Below are 27,811 nucleotides of genomic sequence, written 5' to 3' on the forward strand. Positions count from 1 at the left end.
CCACTGAGCCCGGCCAGTATAGGAATTCTTTAGACTTTTAAAGGCATTGCTCCAGGACGGCTGTTGAGAAGTCCATTGCCATTCCTGATTCCACGCTATCCTTTGTGTGCACCCTCTCCTTTCTGTAAGGAAACTTTAAGTATTTTATCCATATCCTAGTTCATCAAAAATTTCATGCAAATGAGACTTGGTTTGGGCATATTTTTATATATTGTATTTGTAGGTCTTTGGGTAAGTCTTTTTGTTCTAGAAACTCATGTCTTTTACCTCTGAGAAACGTTCTATTATTTCTGTGCTCTCTCTTCTCTCCGTTTTCTCTAATCTCTTTCTCAGTATCTAAAGGGTTTATTTTATTTTATTTATTTTATTTTATTTTATTTTTGATTTTTTTTTTTTGAGAGAGAGTCTTTCTCTGTTGCCCAGGCTGGAGTGCAGTGGTGCCATCTTGCTCACTGCAACCTTCGCCTCCTGGGTTCAAGCGATTCTCCTGCCTCAGCCTCCTGAGTAGCTGGGATTACAGGTGTGTACCACTACACCTGGTTAATTTTTGTATTTTTAGTAGAGAGTAGAGTAGTTTTACTATATTGGCCAGGCTGGTCGTGAACTCCTGACCTCAAATGATCCGCCTGCCTTGGCTTCCCAAAGTGCTAGGATTATAGGTGTGAGCCACCCACCATGGCCAGCTAAAGATCTTTCCTCTACTCAGTTTCCCTAGTAAAAAAATCCCTAATCTCCACCTGAGAGGGTGGGTATTCACCTGGCCATCAGTATTCTACAAACTGTGTCTCATGAGCCTAGGGTCTTAATGTTCAGACTGTCTCCTAACACACCTGTTTTCATTATGACATCTGTCACCTGCTTTCCACTGTGCCCGGTGTTGAAATGAAGTATCCCTGGTTCACTTAAAAAAAAAATTATAGATGAGGTGTTGCTACGTTGCCCAGGCTGGAATGCAGTGGCTATTCACAGGCACAATCATAACTTACCACATTCTAGAATGCCCTGTCTCAAGCGATCCTCCTGCCTCAGTCTCCTGAGTAACTTTGGTGGGTTTTTAAATATATATTTTTAATTTTTTTTACTTTCTGGAGACAGAGTCTCACTCTGTCACCCAGGCTGAAGTGCAATGGCACAATCTTGGCTCACTGCAACCTCTGCCTCCTGGGTTCAAGCGATTCTCATGCCTCAGCCTCTCGAGTAGCTGGGGTTACAGGCATGCACTACCATGCTCAGCTAATTTTTGTATTTCTAGTAGAGGAGGGGTTTTGCCATGTTGGCAAAACTGATCTCAAACTCCTGGCCTCATGTGATCCGCCCACCTTAGCCTCCCAAAGTGCTGAGATTACAGGTGTGAGCCACTGCGCCTGACCTATTTATTTATTTATTTATTTTTGAGACGAAGTCTTGCTCTGTCGCCAGGCTGGAGTGCAGTGGCACGATCTCAGCTCACCACAACCTCTGCCTCCCAGGTTCAAGTGATTCCCCTGCCTCAGCCTCCCAAGTAGCTGGGATTAAAGGCACGTGCCACCACACCCAACTAATTTTTTGTGTTTTAGTAGAGACAGGGTTTCATCCTGTTGGCCAAGATGGTCTCTATCTCCTGACCTTGTGATCCTCCCGCCTTGGCCTCCCAAAGTGCTGGGATTACAGGTGTGAGCCACCATGCCCGGCTTTATTTATTTTTAATTAGAAACAAGTTCTCACTATGTTTCCCAGGCTGGTCTCAAGCTCTCGGGCTCAAGCCATTCTCCCACCTTAGGCTCCCATGTAGCTGGCACTACAGGTATGTGCCACTGCGCCTGGCCTGTTTCACTTTTTAACTAGAATAAAACCTCCAGTCCTTGACAAGATATGGAAGATGTAGTTATCTGCCTGTGTATGTTATGGAAGGGACCTGGTTCTTATGCAGAATTTCAACCCATTCCCTTGTTCTTAGCCCATACCTCACTCCCACCTTCTGCAATAACTTGTGCCTCCAATATCTAATCTTTCCCTTGTCCTAGGTCTCCAACTGACTGACTTCTCTTTGGCATCTTTTGCTATAGCACTTGGTATGCAGCTATCTCAGCTCTGCCAACCCGTCCATCCACTTGCCATCTTCCAAAAATGTGTTGACATCTGTGGTCCACCATTGGCTTCTTTACATCGCTTTACTTTTATTTTTGTGAGGTTTGTTGAGGGAGCAGATATAAATGCATTTATTCCATCTGCCACATTTAACCAGAAATTCAAAAACTGCACTCTTAATTACTATGCTGAATTGCTTCTCAAATGAGATAGTACCTCTGGGATCCCATAGTCCAATGAGGATGAAATGAGATTACACATGTGAACATACTTTGTAAGCTTTAAAGAGCTATGTGCAATGAGTAAGAGGGTCTGTGTTAAATTCCCCGCCAAAGTGCCCTCCATTTTTCTCTCTGTTCTCTGATTCCTCCCATCTCCAAAGTACAGATCAAGCTTACCTCTTCCTGAGGCCTTCCCTGATCAACCCAGCTAACAGGGATGTCCCCGAGCTCTGACCACCAGGAGATTCTCTTTCACCTCCCTTGGCCCTAAGCAGTGCTGCTTTGTTCTTAAGCACAAAGTTACTAAGTTGCATCATCAAATGTAGTTCTGCTGGTGTACTAAAAAGAGCTTTCCTCCTTCCTACGGGCAGGGGACACAGGCTTGACTAAACAAGGGTGCACTTTGGGAGTGGAGGAAGAAGGGTTTTTTCCTTGGGAGGTGAGTTTAGAAGACAAAGTGGCTTCTGTTGCCCTGCAATCTGAGCTGTGGGTGTGGCTCTCAGAGCCCACCTTCTTCCTCTTGCCTCCTCTGCCCTCTCCAGAGCTCTCCTCTGGGCAGTGGAGCCCATGGCACTGGCTGCACCAACAAGTCCATGCCACTGGTCAGGGGCTGTGTCCTTTCACTCCCTCACTCTTTCCAGAACTTTGATGTGGCTTCTGAGGGATTCAACTCATCTGTGGAGAACTTAAGCCAGAATGGCAGTGGAAGATGGACTGGTCTCTGCCTAGAAGTGGTTGATCTTCACCTCAAAAAGATTCTGATCATTTTCCAAGAGACAAATTTCCTCTGACAGTCTTTCCAGAACATTCCATTAGAGTGAAATGTGCCATCTCTTGTCCCTTCCCTGACATGATTATGAAGGAAACTGGGCTTTTCCCAGGGACTGAGGCTGCAAGAGGCTGCCTGAAGGTCAGTGCTGGTGTGCTGGAGCATCTCTGAAACACACAGGTGCACAGACACAATCGTGCTCCCAGACTGCAGGGCATAACTCTTTGTGCAGCAGCAGTAGCACTCCCCTGCCCCATGTGTATGCACCGGCGCAGGAATCCATTTCCTCTGGATTCTTCTCTGTCCTTCCCAGAACCTTCATCTTTAGAGAGCCTTGAAAGTGAGGCCGATTTGGTTGGAAACAGCCAGCCAGGGCAGCGAGGTGGAAGAATGGCCAAGGAGAGAAACACAGACAATGAGGAGGTCATGCCACTCTGATTTCCCCTACCCCCGCTGCAGATTGTCCCAGGGCTTAGGATCCCTCTCCCCTACTTCTTTTTATATCTGGAGCTGTGTTGTCAAATACAGGAGCTGCTAGCCATGCATGGCTGTTGAACACTTGAAATATAGCTAGTCTGAGTTGTTGAGATGGGCTAAAAGTATAAAATACATACGGGAATTTAAAGACTTAGGAAAAAAGAATGTAAGATAGCTCATGAAAAAAATGTTTTCATATTAACCATAATGACAAAATACTTGCATTTTGGAAATACTGGGTTAAATAAAATGTATAATTAAAATGAATTTCATCTGCTTCTCTTTATTTAATTGCACTTGTGGCTCACATTGTATTTGTGTTGCTCAGCACTGGTCTAGAGCCTGCCGTGAGCCAGACTGCTTGACTGGGCCCTGATTCCCTATTTGGATCTTGTCATTTCTTTCCACAGAAATGAGACCCTTGTCATTCTTAGAGTCCTTTGTTGAATGGAAGAAGAAATGGAATAATGCCGTATCCACCTGATGGGGACATCACCTCCTACCTGGATGGTCAGAGGACTCCTATCCATCCCACTGTTCCTTCTGGTTTGGGGCCCAGAGGTACAGAGCCCTCCCTCTCCCCCACAACCCCAGTATCCATTTGGATTGAAGTACCAGCATGGGCTGGGCCTTGAGCCTAGACAGGCCCAAAACTCTCCAGGAAGCCCCCTCTAGGCTGTGCCTGCCCTGTCTGGTAGGGTAAAGCCAGGTGGCCCCAAATGCCTGTCTTATTCTTCTCTTAGTTTTCCTCCTTCCCTCTTATCTGTCCTCTCCTCCCCCAACCCTTCTCTTCTTTTTTAAAAGTCTAATTCTGAGCAGCCGGCTCTGTTCAACCTGACTGGTTTGTTATGGCTTATAATCTGCGCCAGGATTAATTAGCTAATTACTGACAAACGTCCGCTGGCAAGATTCTGCTCCAGCTTGTCAGCTTGAAGTGTTTAATTATTTTAATCATTTACTTTCATCTTCAAAATGTATGCTGCCAAGAAAGTTGCAGGGCATCTTTTAATTATGATTTGGGGTTTCTGCTGGGCTGTGTTCTGTTCCTGAGGACAGGGGACGTTATTTATTTATTTATTTATTTTTTACCAGTCTTCCACCAAAGCCTGAACATGCTTCTACTCCCAGGGCCTCCACATTCCACGGATGGCTGATGGAGAAGAATCCCAGGTCATCTGTGGACACCTCTCCTTCTGTATCCCCAGAACATGATGTGCACAGGTGCATAAAGGAAATTTAAATTTTGTGAGTACTATTATGTGCTGAACATCATGCTAGTTGTTTTTCTATTTTATTTCACATTTGTGAGCACAGAATATGGAAACAGCCTGAGAACTGGACAGAGTGGCCTGGGGTGATCAGTGGGGTGAAAAAAGTAAGAAAGGGGTTATTTTATTGATTGATTGATTGATTTTTGTGATATGATTTAATTATAGTAAACTGAAGTCGTCTTAAATATCAAGCTCTGTGAATTGTCACATATACGTACACCATCACCCAGTCAATGTACCCTAGAGGCCCTGTAATGCCCACTCCCAGCTTATCCTTCCCAACAGTAACCACTTCTGACTTCTATCACCATAGATTTGTTTTTCTAGTCTTCACTCTTATGTAAATAGGAATCTGCAATATGTTCTCTTTTTTTTTTTTTTTTTTTGAGATGGAGTTTCATTCTTGTTGCCCAGGCTGGAGTGCAATGGCGCTCTCGGCTCACCGCAACCTCTGCCTCCCGGGTTCAAGCAATTCTCCTGCCTCGGCCTCCCGAGTAGCTGGGATTACAGGCTTGCGCCACCGCGCCAGGCTAATTTTTTTTTTTTTTTTTTGAGATAGATAGAGTCTTGCTCTGTTGCCCAGGCCGGAGTGCAGTGGCATGATCTCAGCTCACTGCAAGCTCCACCTCCCAGGTTCACACCATTCTCCTGCCTCAGCCTCCCGAGCAGTTGGGACTACAGGCGCCTGCCACCACGCCCGGCTAATTTTTTTGTATTTTTAGTAGAGATGGGGTTTCACCATGTTAGCCAGGATGGTCTCGATATCCTGACCTCGTGATCAGCCCGCGTCAGCCTCCCAAAGTGCTGAGATTACAGGCGTGAGCCACCGTGCCTGGCCTAATTTTGAATTTTTAGTAGACACGGGGTTTCTCCATGTTGGTCAGGCTGGTTTCGAACTCCCAACCTCAGGTGATCCACCCTCCTCGGCCTCCTAAATTGCTGGGATTACAGGCGTGAGCCACTGCGCCTGGCCAATACATTCTCTTTTATGTGAAACTTCTTTCCCTCAACATTTTGGCTGTGAGAGGAAGGGGTCTTTAATATAAATCATATTCTCTGGCCAAGGCTTTGGTTTGGGTCCAGCTGAGAGATTCAACCCATGTTCTTAGAAAGACTTTAACATGGTTTCCTCCTATAAGCATATCGAAAGTGAATTTGGAGGCTCATGTCTGTAATCCCAACACTTCGGGAGGCCGAGGTGGGCAGACTGCTTGAGCTCAGGAGTTCGACACCAGCCTGGGCAACATGGCAAAGCCCCACCTCTACAAAAAATTGGCCAGGCATCATGGCACACACCTGTGGTCCCAGCTACTCTGGAGGCTGAGGTGGGAGGATCACTTGAGCCTGGGAGGTCGAGATTGCAGTGAGCTTTGATTGCACCACTGCACTCCAGCCTGAGCGTCAGAGTGAGACCTGGTCCTCCCCAACCACCTCCCCCCCTAAAAAAAAAACAGAGTTTGGATATGATTTTTCTCCTTCATTCCCTCTCCTTCTCTACTTTCTCCTTTTTCCTCTCTTCCCCCTCCTCTCCTTGCTCTTGCCCCTGGCCATAGTCATGACTTTCACTACATCCTATTAGGAAGTTCTTCCTGAGCTTAAATTCATGCCATTCTGGATACAAAGGCTTATGAGTTTCCTAAAGACACATGGTGTTCAGAGGAGGGTTTTGAAGAACAAAAGATTCCCACATTATGGGTTGAATTGTGTCCCCTAAAAAAAATATGCTGGATTCCAAGTCCCCACTACCTCAAAATGTAGCCTCAACTGGAAATAGGGTCTTTACAGATGCCATCAAGTTAAAATGAGGTCATTAGGGTGGGCCCTAATCCAATAAGACTGGTGTCCTTATGAAAAGGGGAAATTTGGACACAGACACACACACACACACACACACACACACACGCACACTGAGAACATCATGTGAAGATAAAGGCGGAGATGGGGGGATGCATCCTCAAGCCAAGGAACACCAAAGACACCAGCTATCCTCCAGAAGCCACAAGAGAGGCATGAAACAGATTTTCCCTGGAGCCCTAACAGGGAACCATTGTCCCTGGAGCCCTAGGAGGGAACCAACCCTGCCAATACCTTGATTTCAGACTTCAAGCCTCCAGAACTGTAAGACAAAAACAAACTTCCTTCCTTCCTTCCTTCCTTCCTTCCTTCCTTCCTTCCTTCCTTCCTTCTCTCTCTGTCTTTCTTTTCTTTCTTCTTTTTTTGAGACAGAGTCTCACTCTGTCACCCAGGCAGGACTGCAGTGGCGTGATCTCAGCTCACTGCAACCTCCACTTCCTGAGTTCAAGTGATTCTCCTGCCTCAGCCTCCAAGTAGCTGGGATTACAGGTGCATGCCACAACAGCCAGTTAATTTTTGTATTTTTAGTAGAGATGGGGTTTCACCATGTTGGTCAGGCTGGTCTTGAACTCCTGACCTCAAGTGATCCACCCATCTAGGCTCCCAAAGTGCTGGGATTACAGGCGTGAGCCACTGCACTCAGCATCTTCCTTCCTTCCCTTCCTTCCTTCCTTCCCTCCCTCCCTACTTGCTTGCTTGCTTGCTTGCTTGCTTTCTCTTTCTTTCTTTCTTTCTTTCCTTCTTTCTTTCTTTCCTTGTCTCTGTCTTTCTCTCTGTCTTTCCTTTCCCTCCCTCCCTTCTTTCTTTCTTTCCTTTTTTTTTTTTTTTTTTTGACAGAGTCTCACTCTGATTGCCCAGACTGGAGTGCAGTGGTGTGACTTCAGCTCACTACAGCCTCGACCTCCCTGGGCACAGGTGATCATCCCCCCTCAGCCTCCCCAGTGGCTGGGACCACAGGCACCCACCACCACACCCAGGTAATTTTTTGTATTTTTAGTAGAGACAGGGTTTTGTCATGTTGCCCAGGCTGGTCTCGAACCGCTGGACTCATGTAATCTATCTGCCTCAGCCTCCCAAACTTCTGGGATTATAGGTGTGAGCCACTGCACCAGCCCAAGATAATACATTTTGTAATTTCAGCACTCAGTTTGTGGTGCTCTGCTGCAACACCCCTAGGAAAATACTGCACCCCCAAAGGGAGCTGCAGTCGGGTCTTTCTGAATCTGTGTCATGAGACCGATAGCAACCTCTGAGGCATCCTCCGTGCAAACCCAGCCCCAGGCTGGGAGTGACTGAGGTGACAGCTCCAAGTTGGAAGACTGAGGAGAGGAGAAAAATCAAATTAATGAGCTCAGCAATGCCATTAATGAGGCATCAGGCAATATCCAGGGGGCTTCTGTGATGGCCTACACCAGGGCAAGATTAGCCAAAGGATGCCGGGAGCCAGCTCGTGCCAGGTTCTGACGTGATGTGATCTGTCCTCTTGATGCCTCCCTTCCACAAAGTCCAGGGTGGGGCTGGGAGTAAACACAGAGAGTCCTCACCCAGCAGCTGAGATCGCTTGGAAGTCCCTTACCCTTCTTTGGATCTGGTACATGACCCTGCACATGGCATTGCACTTTCTACCATGCAGGTTCATACCTGAGTCCCCCCTCAAACACACCTATTCCTATGTGCCAGGCTCAGTAAAGCCACCCTATCTATATGTGTTTCCCTCCTCCTACTCCCACCCACCTTGAAAGTTCCATCTGGAACAATTTGCTTCATAGGAATGCAAGCGAGCAGCTTGCTAGCCTGTCTGGCAAATGCATAGGGAACCTCCTGGCCAAATCCTACAAAACCTTCTTTCTCTGGGCCCCTGCTGGTCCATGCTAAAAATCCACCCCCACATCTCATCATCCCACCTCCTTCTGATGATCCTGTCATTCAGGTCAGAGCCAGCTCTCACTGCCTTCTGCCAGAGCTCAAAGTTTCTGCCTAACAAGCCCCCTCCTTACCGACAGCCACAGGCTCTCTCTGGTTTGTCCGTAGAGGTCCGTATGGGGTCTGAGTCCCTGTCGCAGTCTGTGTCTTCTATAGCTAGGTCTAGCTTACGATGGCTTGTATGATGACGGGCATGGTCAGACACCCCTCACCACCATACGCTGTCTGAGGATCTCAAACACAGAGGAGTGTGAGGCCTGTGCCTGGGAAGCCTTATAATGAAGTAATGCGTGAGGAGAGAAAATAAGATGGGGTCTGGGTCCTAGCCCTGGGTCTGTCTCTAGGGCAAGCCACTTCCCTTCTAAATCTCTTTCTTTACCTGAAAAATGGGGACATAATCTCCACTGTATGAAATTATACACCCAAGTAAGTATATAAAAATGTATACTGCATGTGGTATATACATACTTTTTCAGCTTTTAAAAGGAAGGGAATTCTGATACATACTACTGCATAAACCTTGAGGACATTATGCTAAGCAAAATAGGCCAGTCACAAAGGACAAACACTGCATGATTCCACTTTTCTTTTTTTTTTTTTTGAGACGGAGTCTCGCTCTGTCGCCCAGGCTGGAGTGCAGTGGCGCGACCTCGGCTCACTGCAAGCTTTGCCTCCTGGGTTTGAGCAATTCTCCTGCTTCAGCCTCCCGAGTAGCTGGGATTACAGGTGCCCGCCACCACGCCTGGCTAATTTTTGTATTTTTTGGTAGAGACGGTGTTTCACCATGTTGGCCAGGCAGGTCTCGAACACCTGACCTCAGGTGATTTGCCTGCCTCGGGCTCCCAAAGTCCTGGGATTATAGGCGTGAGCCACCGTGCCCAGCCTGCATGATTCCACTTATAGGAGGTACCTAGAGTAGTCAAATTCACAGAGACAGAAAGCAGAATGATGGTTTCCAGAGTTGTGGGAGGGGCAGTGGGGAGTTATTGTTTAATGGGTATAGAGTTTTATTTTTGCAGGATGAAAAGAGTTCTGGAAATAGATGGTGGTAATGGTAGCACAACAATAAGAACGTCCTTAATACCACAACACTGCACACTTAAAATGGTTAAAATGGTAAACTTCCTGTCACGTATATTTTACCACAATTTAAAAATAAGCAATAAAAACAAAATGTAAACTGCAAAGCTCTGAACAAATGTGACACTATTAGTATCACAGACACTTTTGCACTTGGCTCTGGGGACCTCAACGGACCTCCTCCACCACAATAAAAGCCCCTCCATTCTCATTTGTTATCATTTTCAAACAATTTCCATGAAATATACATTTATAGTTGCTATAGGTTTGGTCTTCAGTCCTCACTTTCTAGACAGAGTAACACAGGCGTTAGAGTAACAGTGAGTCAGCAGATCTGGGTTCCAATGTGGCTCTGTTGTTTATCAGCTGCACAAGATATTTCTTCAAGCCTTTTTTCTCATGAGGTGACCAATTATACCAATCTCATAGCACAGGTGTAATAATTAAATAAAAGAATGCATGGGGGCTTGGTGCGGTGGTGCACACCTGTAATCCCAGCACTGTGGGAGGCCAAGGCGGGTGGATCACTTGAGGTCAGGAGTTCGAGACCAGCCTGACCAACATGGTGAAACCCCATCTCTACTAAAAAATACAAAAAAAAATTTAGCTGGGTATGGTGGCACACGCCTGTAATTCCAGCTACTCAGGAGGCTGAGGCACAAGAATAGCTTGAACCTGGGAGGCAGAAGTTGCAGTGAGCCAAGGTCATGCCACTGCACTCCAGCCCAGACCACAGAGTGAGATTTCGTCTCAAAAACAAACAAAAAAGAATGCATGAGGACAGGCGCGGTGGCTCACACCTGTAATCCCAGCACTTTGGAAGGCCGAGCTGGGCAGATCACAAGGTCAGGAGATCGAGACCATCCTGGCTAACACGGTGAAACCCCATCTCTACTAAAAATACAAAAAATTAGCCAGGTGTGGTGGTGGCGGGCACCCGTAGTCCCAGCTACTTGGGAGGCTGAGGCAGGAGAATGGCATGAACCCAGGAGGCGGAGCTTGCAGTGAGCCGAGATTGTGCCACTGCACTCCAGCCTGGGCGACAGAGTGAGACTCTGTCTCACAGAAAAAAAAAAAAAAAAAAAAAGAATGCATGGGGGCCAGGCATGGTGGCTCACACCTGTAATCCCAGACCTTTGGGAGACTGAGGTGGGAGGCTCGCTCGAGCCTAGGAGTTTGAGACCAGCCTAGGCAACATAGTGAGACCCTGTTTCTACAAAAAGTTTTTTAAAAATCAGCTGGGCATGGTGGTGTAAGCTACTTGGGAGGCTGAGGGCGGGGATCCTTTGAGGTGGAGGCTATAGTGAGTGGTGATCATGCCACTGCACTGCAGCCTGGGTGACAAAGCAAGACCTTGTCTCAAAAAAAAATTTTTTAATTGGATCTTGACACAGGGATGCAACTGTGCTTAATATCTCTTAGACAATGCTGTCATTAGATACATGGTGTCTAAATGGGGATCTTGTCAAAATTAGTTTTCCATTGCTGTCACACACACACGTGCATCAAACAATGGAGCTCAAAGTCAGAGGAGAGGGTAGGAATGAATGAGGGTGAATGTGAATGCTTTCCTCTCTACTGCAGTATAGTTCTCTGGGTGGCCTTGAATCAACCCTGTTCTCTTCCCTTTTTTGCCTGTAGTTCTCAAGAATAACTGTAGAATATGCTGGGAATACAACATCCTGAGATAGGGAGGAACTGGCCAGAACAACCCAGACTTTGTTCCATTGCTCCTTAGAAACAGAATAGCCTTCAATGCTTCAGTCCAGTGAATCATCAACCTTGGGGTATAAAACCCAGGGTGGGCTGCTTTCTGGGGTCCCTCAGCTGCAGTGCAAGTGAGGCCTGCACAGATGAGATTTCATCCACCCTGGGCAGCTTTCCTGAGCCTTGGGGGACCAGCTCCCAATGAATCATAGGCTTTGGTTATGCCTTGCTGCCTATCTGTAAGTCATAACTCCGCTTCATGTAACCTGCTGTGTGTGTGGGTGTTCTTTCTCACCAGACTCAGACAAGTTGGTAACCAATGCACAGTGAATCTGCTTCACTTCTCCCTTCTTTCCTCCCTCCCTTCCTTCTTTCCTTCCTTCCTTCTTTCCTTCCTCCCTCTCTTCTTCCTCCCATACTTCCTTCCTTCCATCCTTCCTTCCTTTCTCTCTTCCTTCCATTAATGATCCCCTACTAGATTTACATAGGATACTGGGCACTTTGCCAGGGCACTGGGGCATAATTTCATTCCTGACCTCAAGGAACTCCTAGCCTGATGAGGGAAACAGGGAGAGAGATTATAGTGGTCTTGGGAATATAGAGAAAAGAACATTTTTAAGATGCATACATTTCTGAATTTCCTCATCTATCAAATGTGAATAATAATACTTGACTTACAGAGCTGTTCTGAAGATGTTGTCTGGCATTTAGTGGTGGCTCAGTAAGCATTTGTTAAATTTAAAATGTGTTGATGTAGGCCGGGTGCGGTGGCTCATGCCTGTAATCCCAGCACTTTGGGAGGCCGAGGCAGTTGGATCATTTGAGGTCAGGAGTTTGAGACCAACCTGGCCAACATGGTGAAACCCGTCTCGACTCTGTCTCAAAAAAATAAATAAAATAAAATATGTTGATGTAGAATAAACAAGACTTGGTGCCTAAGAATACAGGGGTTTAAGAAAGGAGAGAAGTAGAGGATGATTCCTAGGTTTCTGGCTTGGGTAACAACTGGGTTGGTAATGGTACCAGGTGGGGTCAGAGAAAGAGAAGGGGAAGAAAGTTAGGGACAAGATGATGAAACCAGTATTGGACACACTCAGTTGTGAGAAAGATGATGGGAGAGGGTGTCCAATAGGAACAGGCTAAAAGTGTCTAGATTGCAGGAGAGACATCTGGGCTGGAGACAGAGATGAGTGAGTTAGGAGAACATGACTCAGGCATAGGTGAGACATAGATGAACAGAAGAGGATTGGAGCCCACGCCAGCATTTAAAGGGTAGGTGGGAGGAGCACAGGACCCCGAACAAGTATCACAAGAGAGGAAGAAGAGAAGCAGAGAGTGCTATCGCAGAAGCTAGGGAAGGAGAGGGTTTCAGGGGAGAGAAGAGGGTCTGCAGGGTCAAGTGTTTCAGACAGGCGGTGAGAAAGCCCATTGGGTTTGGGATCAACATCTGTATGTATGGGCAGCTCTATCAAGAGTGTGGGTGGAAGTCAGACCACAGTGTGTTGCAGAGACAATGAAGGGGAAGTGTATCCACTGACTGCAACTATTCTTCCAAGAATCGTGTTAGTGAAGGAAAGAAAAGGATTTCAATGATAGCTTAAGGAGAGGCAAGCCCATTTTGGAATGGAGAAAACCTAAGAAAATTTTTAAGCAAAAGAAGGAATCAGGGCCAGGCACGGTGCCTCACGCCTGTAAAACCAACACTTTGGAAGGCCGAGGCAATAGGATCACTTCAGGTCAGGAGTTCAAAACCAGCCTGGCCAACATGGCGAAACGCTGTCTCTACTAAAAATACAAAAATTAGCCAGGCGTGACAGTGTGTGCCTGTAATCCCAGCTACTCAGGAGGCTGAGGCAGGAGAATCACCTGAACCCGGGAGGCAGAAGTTGCAGTGAACCGAGATGACACCACTGCACTTCAGCCTGTGCAACAGAGCCAGATTCCATCTCAAAAAAAAAAAATAGAAGGATTCAGTAGATTGGGAGAAGGGTGAGGATACAGGTTGAAGAAGAGTGAACGGTTGACCAAGAGCTAGATATTTCCAGCCTCCCTTTGGGCATCTCCTTGTCCGTTCTGTGTGCATAGTGAGACAGCCTAGACCAATTCAGCTCTGCCTGTGCTAAAAGGGGGCCCCTTTGCCCTTTGATACAGGCAGATGAGGGCATGTGAAAGGCTGTGCCTCAGTGTCCAGGTCTACCTCATCCACACTTGGGACTATCCACATACACTCTCATTCCCACCCCTAGACTCATATATACCCTTTCTTTTTTAACTTTTTTACTCTTTCAATAGAGACAGGGTCTCACTATCTTGCTCAGGCTGGGCTAGAATTCCTGGGCTCAAGCAATCCTCCCACCTTAGCCTCCCAAAGTGCTAGGATTACAGGTCCCACCTAGGCTTCCCAAAATGCTAGAATTACAGGCACGGGCCATCGAGCCCAACCACATATACCCTTTCTAACACACTATTTATAGTAGACATCATGAAGGTACGTGGAATTTTATTTTTGAGATGGAGTTTCACTCTTGTTGCTCAGGCTGGGGTGCAGTGGTGTGATCTCGGCCCACCGCAACCTCCACCTCCTGGGTTCAAGCGATTCTCCTGCCTCAGCCTCCCAAATAGCTGGGATTACAGGCATGTGCCACCATGCCTGGCTAATTTTGTATTTTTAGTAGAGATGTGGTTTCTCCATGTTGGTCAGGCTGGTCTCAAACTCCCGACCTCAGGTGATCCACCCACCTCGGCCTCCCAAAGTGCTGGGATTACAGGCGTAAGCCACTGCGCCTGTCTGGTATGTGGAATTTTTATAGAATGTTCTCTCCTATGTTATTCACAAGGTTGTGAGGATCAAATAAGAAGCATATCTAAATGCTTTGTAAAAATATAAATGATACAAATATTAAAAATTAATATTTATTAATTAATAATTCTTACTATTATTGACAAACAGGCTCCACACCATGTTGGCCAGGCTGGTTTTGAACTCCTGACCTGAGTGATCCTTTTGCCTCGGCCTCCCAAAGTGCTGGCATTACAGGCATGACACACACAGAAGCCCACGCACATATGCAGAGGCTCTCATAGGTCCACCTTGCTCCTACTGTTCGGCTAGGGCTTATGTGTCCACACGAGTTCATGAATTCACTAAGACACACTCACCCACTCCCCTACAGGCCCACACAAATCTTTACAGGCTAACACACACTTACACACTGTCCACCACATTCTCAGACAGACCCACACATGTCCAAGTTCACAAACACACTCTTACAAGCATACTCATACACTGCCATTTAGGCTCATGTGAGTATGTGTGCATGCACACACACATACTCTCTCACACTCACAGAGGCACATGTGCCGACACACAATTAAACTGAGAATCTTCCAGCCTAAGGAGGGCTGAGTTGACTGAACATCCATGAGCCAGGGAGAATACCTTGGTTAGCAAATGATTTCACCGCAGACCTGCAGCTTTGCTCCAGGACATTTGTTTCAGCAGAGAATCAATGTGTCTGGGGCCAAGGCGGAGAGAGAAGGGAGCAGGTTTGAAAGAACAGAACTCTCATCTCTCCCTCCTGGTCTGCCTCTCCACAGATGCCCAGGGGCTCCCACTCTCACCCTCCTGAGCAGAAGCTGGGGATCCTCTGAGCTGCTGTCCCTGATGTTAGAGAGCCCTTATCCCTGAGACCAATGCCAGTCATCAAATACATCTCATAGGATGTCTGCACAAAATCAGCTGCCCCAAGCCCCTTGCCTCCCTCCTCCTGGCTTCTCTGATGCATCCCCCACAGGTGAGCAATACGCAGCTGGGTCCCCACTTGGGTGATTTTTAAAATGAGCTCAGGGAAAGGAAGAGCTTTATCCAAGGAGTGGCATGTGTTAATTGTTCTTTCATGAGGGTCTCAGCCTTTCACAAGCCCCCAGTAGGTGTCCTGCCATTCCCCATAACAGCTGCTTCAAACCCCCACATCTCTAGGCCTCCTGGCATCGCTTTCAGCACAAAACCTCACCTTTTTCTGTTTGTTTGTTTGAGTTTTGTTGTTGTTGTTGTTTTTCTGAGACGGAGTCTTGCTCTGTCACCCAGGCTGGAGTGCAGTGGCACAATCTCGGCTCACTGCAACCTCCACCTCCCAGGTTCAAGTGATTCTCCTGCCTCAACCTCCTTAGTAGCTGGGATTTCAGGCCTGCACCACCATGCCCAGCTACTTTTTGTAATTTTAGTAGAGATGGGGTTTCACCCTGTTGGTCAGGCTGGTCTCGAACTCCTGACCTCTTTTTTTTTTTTGAGACGGAATCTTGCTCTGTCACCCGGGCTGGAGTGCAGTGGCACAGTCTCAGCTCACTGCAAGCTCTGCCTCCCGGGTTCACGCCATTCTCCTGCCTCAGCCTCCTTAATAGCTGGGACTACAGGCGCCCGCCACCACACCCGGCTAACTTTTTGTATTTTTTTTTTTTAGTAGAGACGGGGTTTCACTGTGTTAGCCAGGATGGTCTTGATCTTCTGACCTCGTGATCCACCCAGCTTGGCCTCCCAAAGTGCTGGGGTTACAGGCGTGAGCCACTGTGCCCGGCCAACTTCACCTTTTTCTTTACAGAGAACATAAATAGATTAGGGACAATCAGAAGGAGACCCTTATAACTTCCTGAGCCACCACCACCATCAGGAGAAGCTACTCACATTTGTCTCATTTTTGTCTTCTCTCATCTCAGAAGGGTGTGGGGCTGATTGCTCACTGATGCTCTACATCCTGCCGCTCCCACATCACCTGAAAACTTGCTCCATCATCAATTTCTCCCCTTTCTCCTGCGTCTTCACTCTCTTGGTCTCTACTAGATCCTTCCCTTCACAGATAGATATGGTGCTGTCTCTTCCATCTTAAAAAAATGAGTTCTCTTGGCCAGGCGCAGTGGCTCACATCTGTCATCCCAGCAATTTCAGAGGCCAAGGTGGGAGGATTGCTTGAGTCCAGGAGTTCAAGAGCATCCTGGGCAACATAGTAAGGCTCCATTTCTACTAAAATAAATTTTAAAAAATTAGCCAGGCATGGTGGCACACACCTGTAGTCCCAGCTACACAGGAGGCTGAGGTGGGAGGCTGAGGTGGGAGGATCGCTTGAATCCCACAGGTCAAGGTTGCAGTGAGCTGTGATCACATGACTGTACTCCAGCTCTGTGTGACACAGCAAGACCTTATCTCAAAAAAAAATAAATAAAAGTCTTCTTCTATACAACATTTGCTTCTATCTGCCACTCAGTCTCTCTCCTTTCATTCATTGCCAATTTTCTTAAAAGAGTTGCCTCTACTCCCTCTCTCCTCCTATCACCCCCTCATTCCCCAAATCACTGCAATCTGTCTCCTGCACCCCACCCCCCACACACACACAACTGTTCACCAGGGGTCCCAGCAAGACACAATGTTCACTTCTCAGTCCCTCCAGTAGGGACCCCTTAGCAGCAGTGAATACTGTTGACCATTCCCTTCTTCTTGGAACTCTCTCCCCCTGGTTGTCTTCTCTCCTGACAAGTCTCGGCTCTCTTGTCTCCTTACCTCTCTGACTACCACTTATTGCCTCCTTCTTTCTCTGCCCTCTTCCCAGATCCAATTAATATTAATTATGTAGCTTCTACCTCCTAAAGAGCTCTTTTTTTTTTTTTTTTTTTTTTTTTTTGAGACGGAGGCTCGCTCTGTCCTCCAGGCTGGAGTGCAGTGGCACAATTTCGGCTTACACATGTAATCCCAGCACTTCCCAGGCTGAGGTGGGCGGATCACCTAAGGTTCCAGACCAGCCTGGCCAACATGGTGAAACCCTGTCTCTACTAAAAATATGAAAATTAGCCTGGCGTATAGCTGGGCGCCTGTAATCCCAGCTACTTGGGAGGCTGAGGCAGAAGAATTGCTTGAAACCGGGAGGCAGAGGTTACAGTGAGCTGAGATCAAGTCATTGCATTCCAGCCTGGGCAACAAGAGTGAAACTCAGTCTCAAAAAAAGAAAAGAAAATACAAAACCAGGCCCGGCGCAGTGGCTCATGCCTGTAATCCCAGCACTTTGGGAGGCCGAGATGGGCGGATTACGAGGTCAGGAGATCGAGACCATCCTGGCTAACACGGTGAAATCCCGTCTCTACTAAAAATAAAATTAAAAAAAAATTAGCCTGGCATGGTGGCGGGTGCCTGCAGTCCCAGCTACTCGGGAGGCTGAGGCAGGAGAATGGCATGAACCCGGGAGGCGGAGCTTGCAGTGAGCTGAGATCGCACCACTGCACTCCAGCCTGGGGGATAGAGCAAGACACCATCTCAAAAAAAAAAAAAAAAAAGAAAAAGAAAAGAAAAGAAAATACAAAACCATATTGCTGAAATGTGGGTGTAGTAAAAACAAAAATAAATGGATAGATGATGGATAGATAGATAGATAGGTAGATAGATAGATAAAATACAAATCTAGGCCAGGTGCAGTGGCTCATGCCTATAATCCAAGCACTTTGAGAGTCTGAGAAGGAAGGATTGTTTGAAACCAGGAGCTTAAGACTAGCCTGGGCATCATAGGGAGACCACATCTCTATAACAAATTTTATTTTATTTTTTGAGACAGGGTTTCACTCCTGTCACCTAGGCTGGAGTGCAGTGGCACGCTCTTGGTTCACTACAACATCTACCTCCCAGGCTCAAGTGATCCTCCTGCCTCAGCCTCCCGAGTAACTGAGACTACAGGTGCACACCAACACATCCAGCTAATCTTTGTATTTTTAGTAGAGACAGGGTTTCACCATGCTGCCCAGGCTGGTCTGGAACACCTGACCTCAAGTGATCCCCCTGCCTCAGCCTCCCAAAGTGCTGGGATTACAGGCGTGAGCCACCATGCCTGGCCTATAACAAATTTTAAAATTAGCCAGGCATGGTGGTACGTACCTTTAGTTCTAGCTAGTCAGGATCCCAGGAGGTCAAGGCTTTGGTGAGTTATGATTGCACCACTGTACTCCAGCCTGGGTAACAGAGCGAGATCCTGCCTCTAAAAATAAATAAATAGAATAGAATACAAATCTGGACCAGGTGTGGTGGCTCAGGCCTGTTATCCCAGCACTTTCAGAGGCCAAGGCAGGTGGATCCCCTGAGGTCAGGAGTTTGAGACCAGCCTGGCCAACATGATGAAACCCTGTCTCTACTAAAAATACAAAATTAGCCAGGCGTGGTGGCAGGCGCCTGTAATCCCAGCTACTTGGGAGGCTGAGGCGGGAGAATCACTTGAACCTGGGTGGTGGAGGTTGCAGTGAGCCAAGATCATGCCACTGCACTCCAGCCTGGGCAACAAGAGACAGACTTCATCTCAAAACAAAAAAAAAAACAAACAAAAAAAAACGGAATGCATCCTTTTGCTATATAAAATTTTTCATTGTCTTCTTTCATTATCTGCCTATAGGATAAGTTTCAAACTCTGAAAGAGGGCTTCCAAGGCCCTCTGTGTCAGACCCCACCTTCCTCTCTAGCTTTGTCTCTCACACCTACCCCCTTGCCTTCTCCAGGCCTTTTCAGTTCAGCTAAACCCTTTCAGTTCCCCAAATCCAGCACACTATCTCTTGCTTCTGAGCATTTGAACATGGTATTATCTCTGCCCAGAACACCCTCCTCTCCCCGCTCTCTCTCCCATTACCTAACTCCTATTCGTCCTTCAGAGCTCAACTCAGCCATTTCCTCCGTTTACACATTTGCTCATTTATTCAGAGGGGGCAGCTGCACGTAAACTTTAAGAGCCTCAGAGAGAATGCTCAGTCCAGTCAGGGACCAGCTGGAAAGGGAAGGAACGGGGGAAGAGGAATGTAGGGTCTTAATGGTTTAAAGGGTGGGAGCTGAGAGGCCAAGCTACTGAGAAAATAAGGGTTCTCTGAACACTGAGTAATAATATACAGAAAAACAGAAAGTTAATAATGAGAACTTTGGGATTTTTCTCATGTATGTTTAAGTTAAATGTTCTTCTCAGGCCATAATAAACTTACAAAGGGCTTAATAGGGAACACTTAGATGACCAGGAAAATGTACTTAATAACAAGTCATTTATTGAGCACTAAAGGCACTGAGTGGAGCATGTTATTGTACATCATCTACCACACTGCTTGTGACAAAATAAGTATTGCTCTCCCCCATTTTGCAGATGAGGAAGATTCAGAGATTTGCCGGAAGTCTCACAGTAAATTAGTGCCAGAGTCAAAGTTCAGACCTAAATCTATCTGAACCCAAAGCCAACTTCTTGATCTTGACATTCTTTTGCCCACTTTTACTATGGGATAGATTTAAGGGGAGATTCTAATGTGCCAAGAAGATGGGGAGCCCATTGGTAGTTCTCACACTTAATGTCCCCATGACACCCATCCTGTGCCCGCTGACAGTTTGACAACTTACACAGCAGCTGGTTTGCTCGGAGGAGATCTCCGTTAATTAAAATAGCACTAAGGGAGAGCAGTGCAAACCATGTCAGCAGGTAATTAATGCAAAGGAGGACTAAGGCATGCAGAAATGCTCAGCCTCTACCTGCCAGAGCCCAGCTTCACTCATTGCCCCCAGACTAAAGCTGCCACTTTGTCCCTCTGGCTACGAGCTGCTGCCTGTCCTCCTACTTCCGTGGATGGGGAGGAACGACCTGTCCTCTGAGGTCACACCCAGGGCTTCTACTCTTACTGGGCTCTGGACTCTCAGCCTTTTTTGAACTGTCTATCTCTCCCAGGAGATCCAGGAGGACAAGACCAGCCAGAGATCAACCATCCAGGCCCCAAGGCTTTGGGGACATCATCTCAGAGGAAGTGTCAATCCTAGCCTACTCCTGTCCCATCAAGCTGTCTGTCAGGAGTTATTGACTTATGTCTTAGGACAGGACCTTGAACCAGTCTGCCTCAGTGTCTAGTGTGCTGGGCTGAACCAGACCCAACCTCCTCAATGCCTCTGCCCAGAACTAGGACTTGCTTTCCTGTTGGACCTGGTCCTGAAGCTCACTGCTTTGGTGGGACCCTGATCCACCTTCCTGTTCCTCCTCTCATTTCATTATCATCATATCTGCAGCAGGTACTCTGCAAAAAGATAGTTCTCCATTTTTCAGATGAACAAACTGAAGTTGAGAGCAGGGAAGTAGCTTGTCTAAGGACAGCAGACGTTTCCCTTCTGTTCAGAGGCTGTGCTCTTCTGGGATTCCAGCCATCAGTTCAGCTGTAACTTGCTTTTCTGTCTTTAATAAACCTTTTGTTTTGGAATAATTCTAGATTTACAAAGAAAGTTACAAGGACAGCAAAGAAAGTTCCCTTATACCCCTCACTCAATGTCTCCACTGTTGACATTTTCTGTTACCATGGTACCTTGGTCAAAACTGAGAATCTGACATTGTATACTTGATTTTTGAATCAAGAAATTTTTTTTCCCTCAGGAATGAGCTCCAAATTTCTCTCTTCTGCATCCAAAAGTCCAGTGAGGAGTGTGGATGCGTGTAATGTGGCCCCTTCATCACATCCACCCCGTGCGTTCCTACCTTATCCAGTGTCCCCAACCCCAAAAAACAGAAGGACCATCCAAGGAGGACCAGCTTCAGGCCCAGAGACTCAGATTCCTAGTCAGCATCCTTCAGGTACCTCACTCATCAAGCTCCTCTTTCCATAAGGCTTCAAAGATACGACTTGCCCACAAACACACTCCTACCCACTAACCTCTAAACTAACTCCATCTTTAATTCTTGTGGACACCCACCCAATATCAACTCCATCCTCAAAGCTGTCAATAAGATCCAATGAAGCAAATATTTATTGATAACACAGAAATAAATCCAATCCTGTCCTGACCTTAAGCTGCTCCTGGTCCTTTGAAGGAAATAGAGGCCTTTGTATATGATTAAAATAGCATGTGGTAAGTGAAGCAGTGTAAACAGTGGTTAAGAGCTTGAGGTCTTCAATCAGAAATCTATGTGACTTTAGCTAGGTGACATTAATTTCCATGAACATGTTTTCTGTTCTCTAAAATAAGAGGCTGGGGCCGGGCACAGTGGCTCATGCCTATAATCCCAGTACTTTGGGAGAATGAGGTGGGTAGATCACTTGAGGCCATGAGTTTGAGACCAGCCTGGCCAACATCATAGAACCCCATCTCTACTAAAAATACAAAAATTAGCTGGGTGTAATGGCCCATGCCTGTAGTCCCAGCTACATGGGAGGCTGAGTCAGGAGAATCACTTGAACCCTGGAGGCAGAGTTTGCAGTGAGCTGAGATGGAGCCCCTGCACTCCAGCCTGGACGATAGAGTGAGGCTCTGTCTCAAAACAAAACAAAACAAAAAAACACAACCAAATGGTATTCATTCCTGCACTCCAAGGATGTGTTAAGAGGGGGCCGGGCGCGGTGGCTCAGGTCTGTAATCCCAGCACTTCGGGAGGCTGAGGCGGGCAGATCATGAGGTCAGGAGTTTGACACCAGCCTGGCCAACATAGTGAAACCCTGTCTCTATTAAAAATACAAAAAAAAAAAAAAAATTAGCCGAGCATGGTGGCAGGCACCTGTAATCCCAGCTACTTGGGAGGCTGATGCAGGAGAATCACTTGAACCTGGGAGGCAGAGGTTGCAGTGAGCCAAGATTGCGCCACTGGACTCCACCCCAGGCTGTCTCAAAAAACACCAAAAAAAAAAAACAATTTTTTTAACAGGGGAAATCATGTTGTGTTCTTACCACAATAAAATTTTTAAAAATGTTATCCTATTAGATTACACTATTATCTATGATTTGCAGATTGTCTCTTATAGTATTAGATTTCCTCACTTGTTTTGTAATTTTTATTTGTGAACACACCTTCCGGGAAGTTTTCCTCTATAGGATTCTATTAATTCCTTGGGTTTTGAATTAACTGTGAATTGCTTTGACCAATGTGATTCACTGGCTCTGGATCAGTTTTGATCTTGGGCTGGGGTTATTTTGATATTGGGGTTTCTATATGAAGAAGATAGTGCAGAATAGTAGCTGTCTAGTCACACATTGCCCAGGACAGAGGTTGATATCTCAGGACTGACAAGAATACTTCTCATGGACTGGGCTGAGTGTCCCACTTTCACTTCTGTCCATATTTCCCAGGCAATGAGCCGGTACAGTTTTGTAAGCCTAAATGAACAGACAGGACAGCCCTTTTCCTACCTCCTCGTTTTTTTGCAAGGAGCCCAGTTCTAGCCTGTAATCTTGACTCCTGCCCTGGCATCTAGTATTAAAAGCTCAGCCCCAGCTATGGCTGTAATCCTAGCAACTTGGGAGGCTGAGTGGAGGATCACTTGTGTCTAGGAGTTCAAGGCTGCAGTGAACTACAATCATGCTACTGCACTTTAGCCTGGGTGACAGAGCAAGACCTGTCTCTAAAATAAAAAAAAAAAAACATTAAAAGCCCAGCTCCGTGGCTTAGATCTCAACATCTTTATGGGCTCCATGGCTTCAGTTCCCACTCATTACTGAAGGAATCCACAATGTTGCTTTGGCATCTGAAAATCTGAAATTTTACCATTGTTGCTTTTAGTTCGGCTATACATTTTTAAAAATTGAACAAAAAAACCCAAAAACCTTCTATCCTGCATTTCTATGTGTTTGGAGCAAAATGCCAGCTCAGTCTGCCATCTTGAGCAGAAGTACTAGGAAGAAATTATTACGAAGAGATAACAAAAATTAGCTGGGCGTGGTGGTGTGCATCTGTAGCCCCAGCTACTCAAGAGGCTGAGCCTGCAAAGTTGAGGCTGCTTACGCCACTGCACTCCAGCCTGGGCAAAAGAAGTGAGACACTGTCTCAAAAAAATAAATAGGTAAAAAATTAAAAATAAATAAAGATATGATAAGAACATGGAAACAAAGATGTCCCAGAAGACAAGCAAGAAAAAAGTTTCAAGCAAAGGAATCAGGATGGGGCACAGCAGCTCATGCCTATAATCCCAGCACTTTGAGAGGCCAAGGTGGAAGGACTGGTTGAGGCCAGAAGTTTGTTAGCAGCCTGGGCAACATAGTGAGACTCTGTCTCTACAAAAAATATAACAAATTAGCCAGGCATGGTGACGCACACCTGTAGTCCCGGCTACTCAGAAGCCTGAGGTGGGAGGATTGTATGTGCCCAAGAGTTCAAGGCTGCAGTGAGCTATTATTGTGCCACTGCATTCAGCCTGGGCAATACAGACATGCTGTCTCTAAAAAAAAAATTTTTTGTTTAAAAAAGAAAAGGAATCAACTGAATTATATCAAAAATTGCATTGTGGACCAGGTGCAGTGGCTCACGCCTATAATCCCAGCACTTTGGAAGGCCAAGAAGCGGGCGGATCACTTGACATCAGGAATTCGAGACCAGCCTGACCAACATGATGAAACTCCATCTCTACTGAAAATACAAAAAATTAGCCAGGCATGGTGGTGCACACCGGTAGTCCCAGCTACTTGGGAAGCTGAGGCAGGAGATTCGCTTGAACCTGGGAGCCAGAGGTTGCAGTGAGCCAAAATCATGCCGCTGCACTCCAGCCTGAAGGAAAGAGTGAGACTCCAACAAACAAACAAAAAAGAACTGAATGGACATCGTTAAATTTGAAGATGTGGAGGGCATCGATTACCTTGGTGAGAGCTGCTTCGTGGAGTGGTGGGAGACAGAAGCCTAACTGAAGAGTGGAAAGGAGGTGATGGACAGAGACAGGTGGGAGGTCCTCCTTCTGACAGGTGGCTGTGTAGAAAGGAGGCTGAGCTGGTGGCAGCAGGACAGGGGTCAGGGAGGTGTCTGTGGGCTGCGGGCAGGGAAGATGCAGGAAGAGTCAGAAGATGCAGAAAGGAAGAGATGTCCTGCAAAACCTAGGGATGGCAAGGGTCAACCCCAAAGGAGTTGCTGGCCTTTCCCAGAAGGAGAAATCAGAATCCAGGGGAAAAGAAGAAGGATGAGAAGAGCACGGACATCATTTGACTTAGAGTAGGGGGGTGCAAATGAGGAAGTTCACATTCCTGGCTCTGTGGAGTTGGTAGAGCCAGGGAATAGACCTGGTTGAAGGGATGAGGAAGAGCAGAATAGATAGAGGCTTGAGGAGGGAGAGTGGGGAAGGTCTTTAGCAGCTGAGGTGGAAAAGAGGAGAGAGAGTCTCCCTTTGACAGCAGAAAGGCCGTGGGAATCCCTCCCACGACCCTGGGCCAACATGGAGTGGGTACAAGTCAGGCAGCAGAGGGCCAAGGGTGAGGAAATCTGGGCCGAGGGTGAGAAGGCACAGTGGCCCAGGTGAGGCTGGATGGAGTAAATGTTGAGAGAGAGAGAAGGGGAATGGGGCAAACCACCCCGTTCAGAGAGAGAGAGAGAGAAAGAGAAAGAGAAGGGGGATGGGGCAAACCACCCCGAGAGAGAATGGAAGTAAGAGTGTGAATATTGTGCGAAAGTAAAAGTTTCCAAAAGTGGAGCTTGGGAAATTTTGCTTATATGTAAATTGTTTTGCAGGTCTATTTGACTGGGACTTGACCTGTAAATGAAGCACAAACGAATGAATGCTAGATACAATAGATCAAAGAAAAAGAAAAGACAGCGAGAGGACCGGGGGCGGTGGCTCACGCCTGTAATCCCAGCACTTTAGGAGGCCGAGGCGGGCAGATCACAAGGTCAGGAGATCGAGACCATCCTGGCTAACATGGTGAAACCCCGTCTCTACTACAAATACAAAAAATTAGCCGGGCGTGGTGGTGGGTGCCTGTAGTCCCAGATACGCGGGAGACTGAGACAGGAGAATCACTCGAACCCAGGAGGCAGAGGTTGTAGTGAGCTGAGATTACACCATTGTACCCCAGCCTGGGGGACAGAGCAAGACTCCATCTCAAAAAAATAAAAAATAAGAAAAAAAATGAAAGATAGCGAGAGAAGCGGGGCAGAGAGACAGGCACATGGGCAGTGGCTAGGTGAATAGATGAATATAGGAACAACTGGACTAGCTGGTCACCATGGCTTATGCCTGTAATCCTAGCATTTTGGGAAGCCAAGGTGGGAGGATTTCTCGAGGCCAAGAGTTCAGGATCAATCTGGCCAATGTAGTGAGACCAGCTGGACAGACAAACTGACAAACTGACAGACAAAAAAAAGAACAGCTGGACAGACAAACTGACTCCTTACTCCCTAAACTTGGTCCCTCTAGACTCAATTCCTTTCCCTTTTTTTTTCTTTTTTCTTTTTTCTTTTTTTTTTTTTGAGACATGGTCTTGCTCTGTCACCCAGGCTGGAGTGCAGTGGGGCTTGATCTCAGGTCACTGCAACCTTGCAACCTCCGCCTCCTGGATTTGAGCAATTCTCATGCCTCAGTCTCCCAAGTAGCTGGGATTACAGGTGTGCATCACTATGCCCAGGTATTTTTTGTAGAGACGGGGTTTCACCATGTTGGCCAGGCTGATCTCGAACTCCTGGCCTCAAGTGATCTGCCTCAGCCTCCCACAGCACTGAGATTACAGGCATGAGCCACTGCACCTGGCCTTTCTTTTTCTTTTTCTTTTTCTTTTTCTTTTTGAGACAGGGTCTCGCTCTGTCACCCAGGCTGAGTGCTGTGGCATGAACACAGCACACTGTAGCCTCGACCTCCCAGGCTCAAGCAATCCTCCCACCTCAGCCTCCCACGTAGCTGGGAACGCCTAGCTAATTTTTGTATTTTTTGTAGAGACAGGTTATTATTATGTTGCCCAGGCTGGTCTTGACCTCCTGGGCTCAAGTGACCCTCCTGCCTTGGCCTCCCAAAGTGCTGAGATTATAGGCATGATCCACTCACTGCTCCTGGCCTAGACCCAGTTCTGTCTTTTTTTGTTGTTGTTGTGTTTTCTTTTTTTTTCCTTTGAGATGGGGTCTTGCTCTGTCATCCAGGCTGGAGTGCAGTGGCTTGATCTCGGCTCACTGCAACCTCCACCTCCCAAGCTCAAGCGATCCTCCCACCTCAGCCTCCTAAGTAGCTGGGACTACAAGCATGCACCACCACGCCCGGCTAATTTTTTGTATTTTTAGTAGAGATGGAGTTTGGCCATGTTGCCCAGGCTGGTCTCAAACTCCTGAGCCCAAGTAATCTGTCTCTCTTGGCCTCCCAAAGTGCTGGGATTTCAGGCATGAGCCACCATGCCCGACCTACACTCAGTTCTGTTCTCTGCATTTCTCCTCTCTTTCTTCCCTCTATCTCCTGCTATCAAGGAGCTCAGTGCCAAGATTGAAGTGCGGTTTGGGGGTTATTTTGTGAAGGGCTAGTTCTGAGGGCTGGCGCTGGGGTGGGGGGGCAGCTTCAAGGGTGCTGGGCCCCTGTATGCAGCTGAGGCCGAGTTGGGGAGGGGGAGACAGAGGCAGGGTGCCCCGGGCATGAAAGCTGCAGAGGTGTCAGAGGTAGAGACTTAATGACAAGCCCTGGGTCCACCTGTACAGATGAGCAGGGCTGGGAGGGAAATTGGAAAAGGGACACGTTCATTTTTCAGCACAGTTCTCTCTCCTTACACACACTCTTTCTCTCAATAAACAGCTGGAGCCTGCCTCTGTTCTGCCTCTCACTCCATTTCTACAAAGGACCCCTGGAGAGAGGTTGTAAAGTCGGTAAAGAGGGGAAGGCGTGGGGTTGCCTCCTCCGCTGGGACTTGCAGCTGTCAACGCAGTTGCCTGGGGGACACCCAGCCAGTCCCGTGGGCTTGGGCTAGCTAGGGTGAGGGTGGGGGAGGGTCGAAGAAGCAAGAACAAGGCTGGGAGGCTGCAGGGTGCCCCACACTTGAGCAGGTACTCGGCCGGAACCCTAAGCCTCTGGAGCCCCAGGTTGGCCCCTCAAAGGAGGCCTAGCTGCAGCCCAGAAGACTTCTCAAGAACCTTCCCCACCCCAACACACACAGGGCTACAGGAACCCTCCCCACCCCAACACACACAGGGCTACAGGAACCCTCTTCACTCACAGACACTCACGAAGCCCAGAGCTGTTAACTCCTACACTGGGGCTTGTGCCTGTAATCCCTGCAACTTTGGAGGCTGAGGCGGGAGGATTGCTTGAGCCCAGGAGTTTGAGACCTGCCTGAGCAACATAGGGAGACCCCCCCCCCCGCCATCTTTAAATAAATAAATAAATAAATAAATAAATAAATAAATAAATAAATACTGCCACACCGGGTTCTCCTTCTCCTACTCCAAATTGGGACAGTGGGAATGCTCAGCTGAACCTCTGGGCCAGGGAGAGGCTGAGTTGCCTCTGAGGTCAGCATCTTAGGTGCAATTCCAGCCCTCATAGCCCCAACAAAACTCACATCTGTTCCAGAAGAGTGGCTACATCTAGTCAAAGTTGTCTCAACACTGTTCTAAGAACCAGGGGCATACAGCCAACTCCTGGCACTAGGGAGAAAGCCGCTTCCTCCACTCCTCTGCTTGAGGAGGAGCTGGCGTTGGTATCCAGGAAATACACAACTGTCCACACATAAACTGGAGGCTCCCTAATGTAAC

General features: G+C 47.3%; 1 long non-coding RNA gene across 4 annotated transcripts, besides 2 other annotated features; it reads left to right on the forward strand.

Moving 5' to 3' along the window:
• The first annotated feature begins 1,005 nt into the window (after window positions 1–1,005).
• LOC105378646 (uncharacterized) lies at window positions 1,006–20,947 on the forward strand. 4 transcript variants are annotated; one of them, XR_947184.3, is made up of 5 exons: window positions 1,006–1,046; window positions 3,945–4,095; window positions 4,627–4,779; window positions 14,967–15,163; window positions 20,777–20,947. It is a non-coding gene; the product is annotated as an uncharacterized LOC105378646 (long non-coding RNA). The 4 variants fall into 4 exon arrangements; XR_007065767.1 differs by having other exon boundaries at window positions 4,663–4,779; XR_947183.3 differs by lacking the exon at window positions 20,777–20,947 and adding an exon at window positions 20,087–20,157.
• Window positions 26,378–26,895: an enhancer, noted in NCBI's record as "H3K4me1 hESC enhancer chr1:36156281-36156798 (GRCh37/hg19 assembly coordinates)". NCBI's record gives its function as "activates a minimal SCP1, AML or CMV promoter by ChIP-STARR-seq in naive H9 embryonic stem cells {active_cell/tissue: H9 hESC(naive)}" and the evidence as "EXISTENCE:reporter gene assay evidence [ECO:0000049][PMID:30033119]".
• Window positions 26,896–27,411: an enhancer, noted in NCBI's record as "H3K4me1 hESC enhancer chr1:36156799-36157314 (GRCh37/hg19 assembly coordinates)". NCBI's record gives its function as "activates a minimal SCP1, AML or CMV promoter by ChIP-STARR-seq in naive H9 embryonic stem cells {active_cell/tissue: H9 hESC(naive)}" and the evidence as "EXISTENCE:reporter gene assay evidence [ECO:0000049][PMID:30033119]".

Source organism: Homo sapiens, chromosome 1 (genome assembly GCF_000001405.40).
Source record: "Homo sapiens chromosome 1, GRCh38.p14 Primary Assembly".
Taxonomy (NCBI): Eukaryota; Metazoa; Chordata; class Mammalia; order Primates; family Hominidae; genus Homo; species Homo sapiens.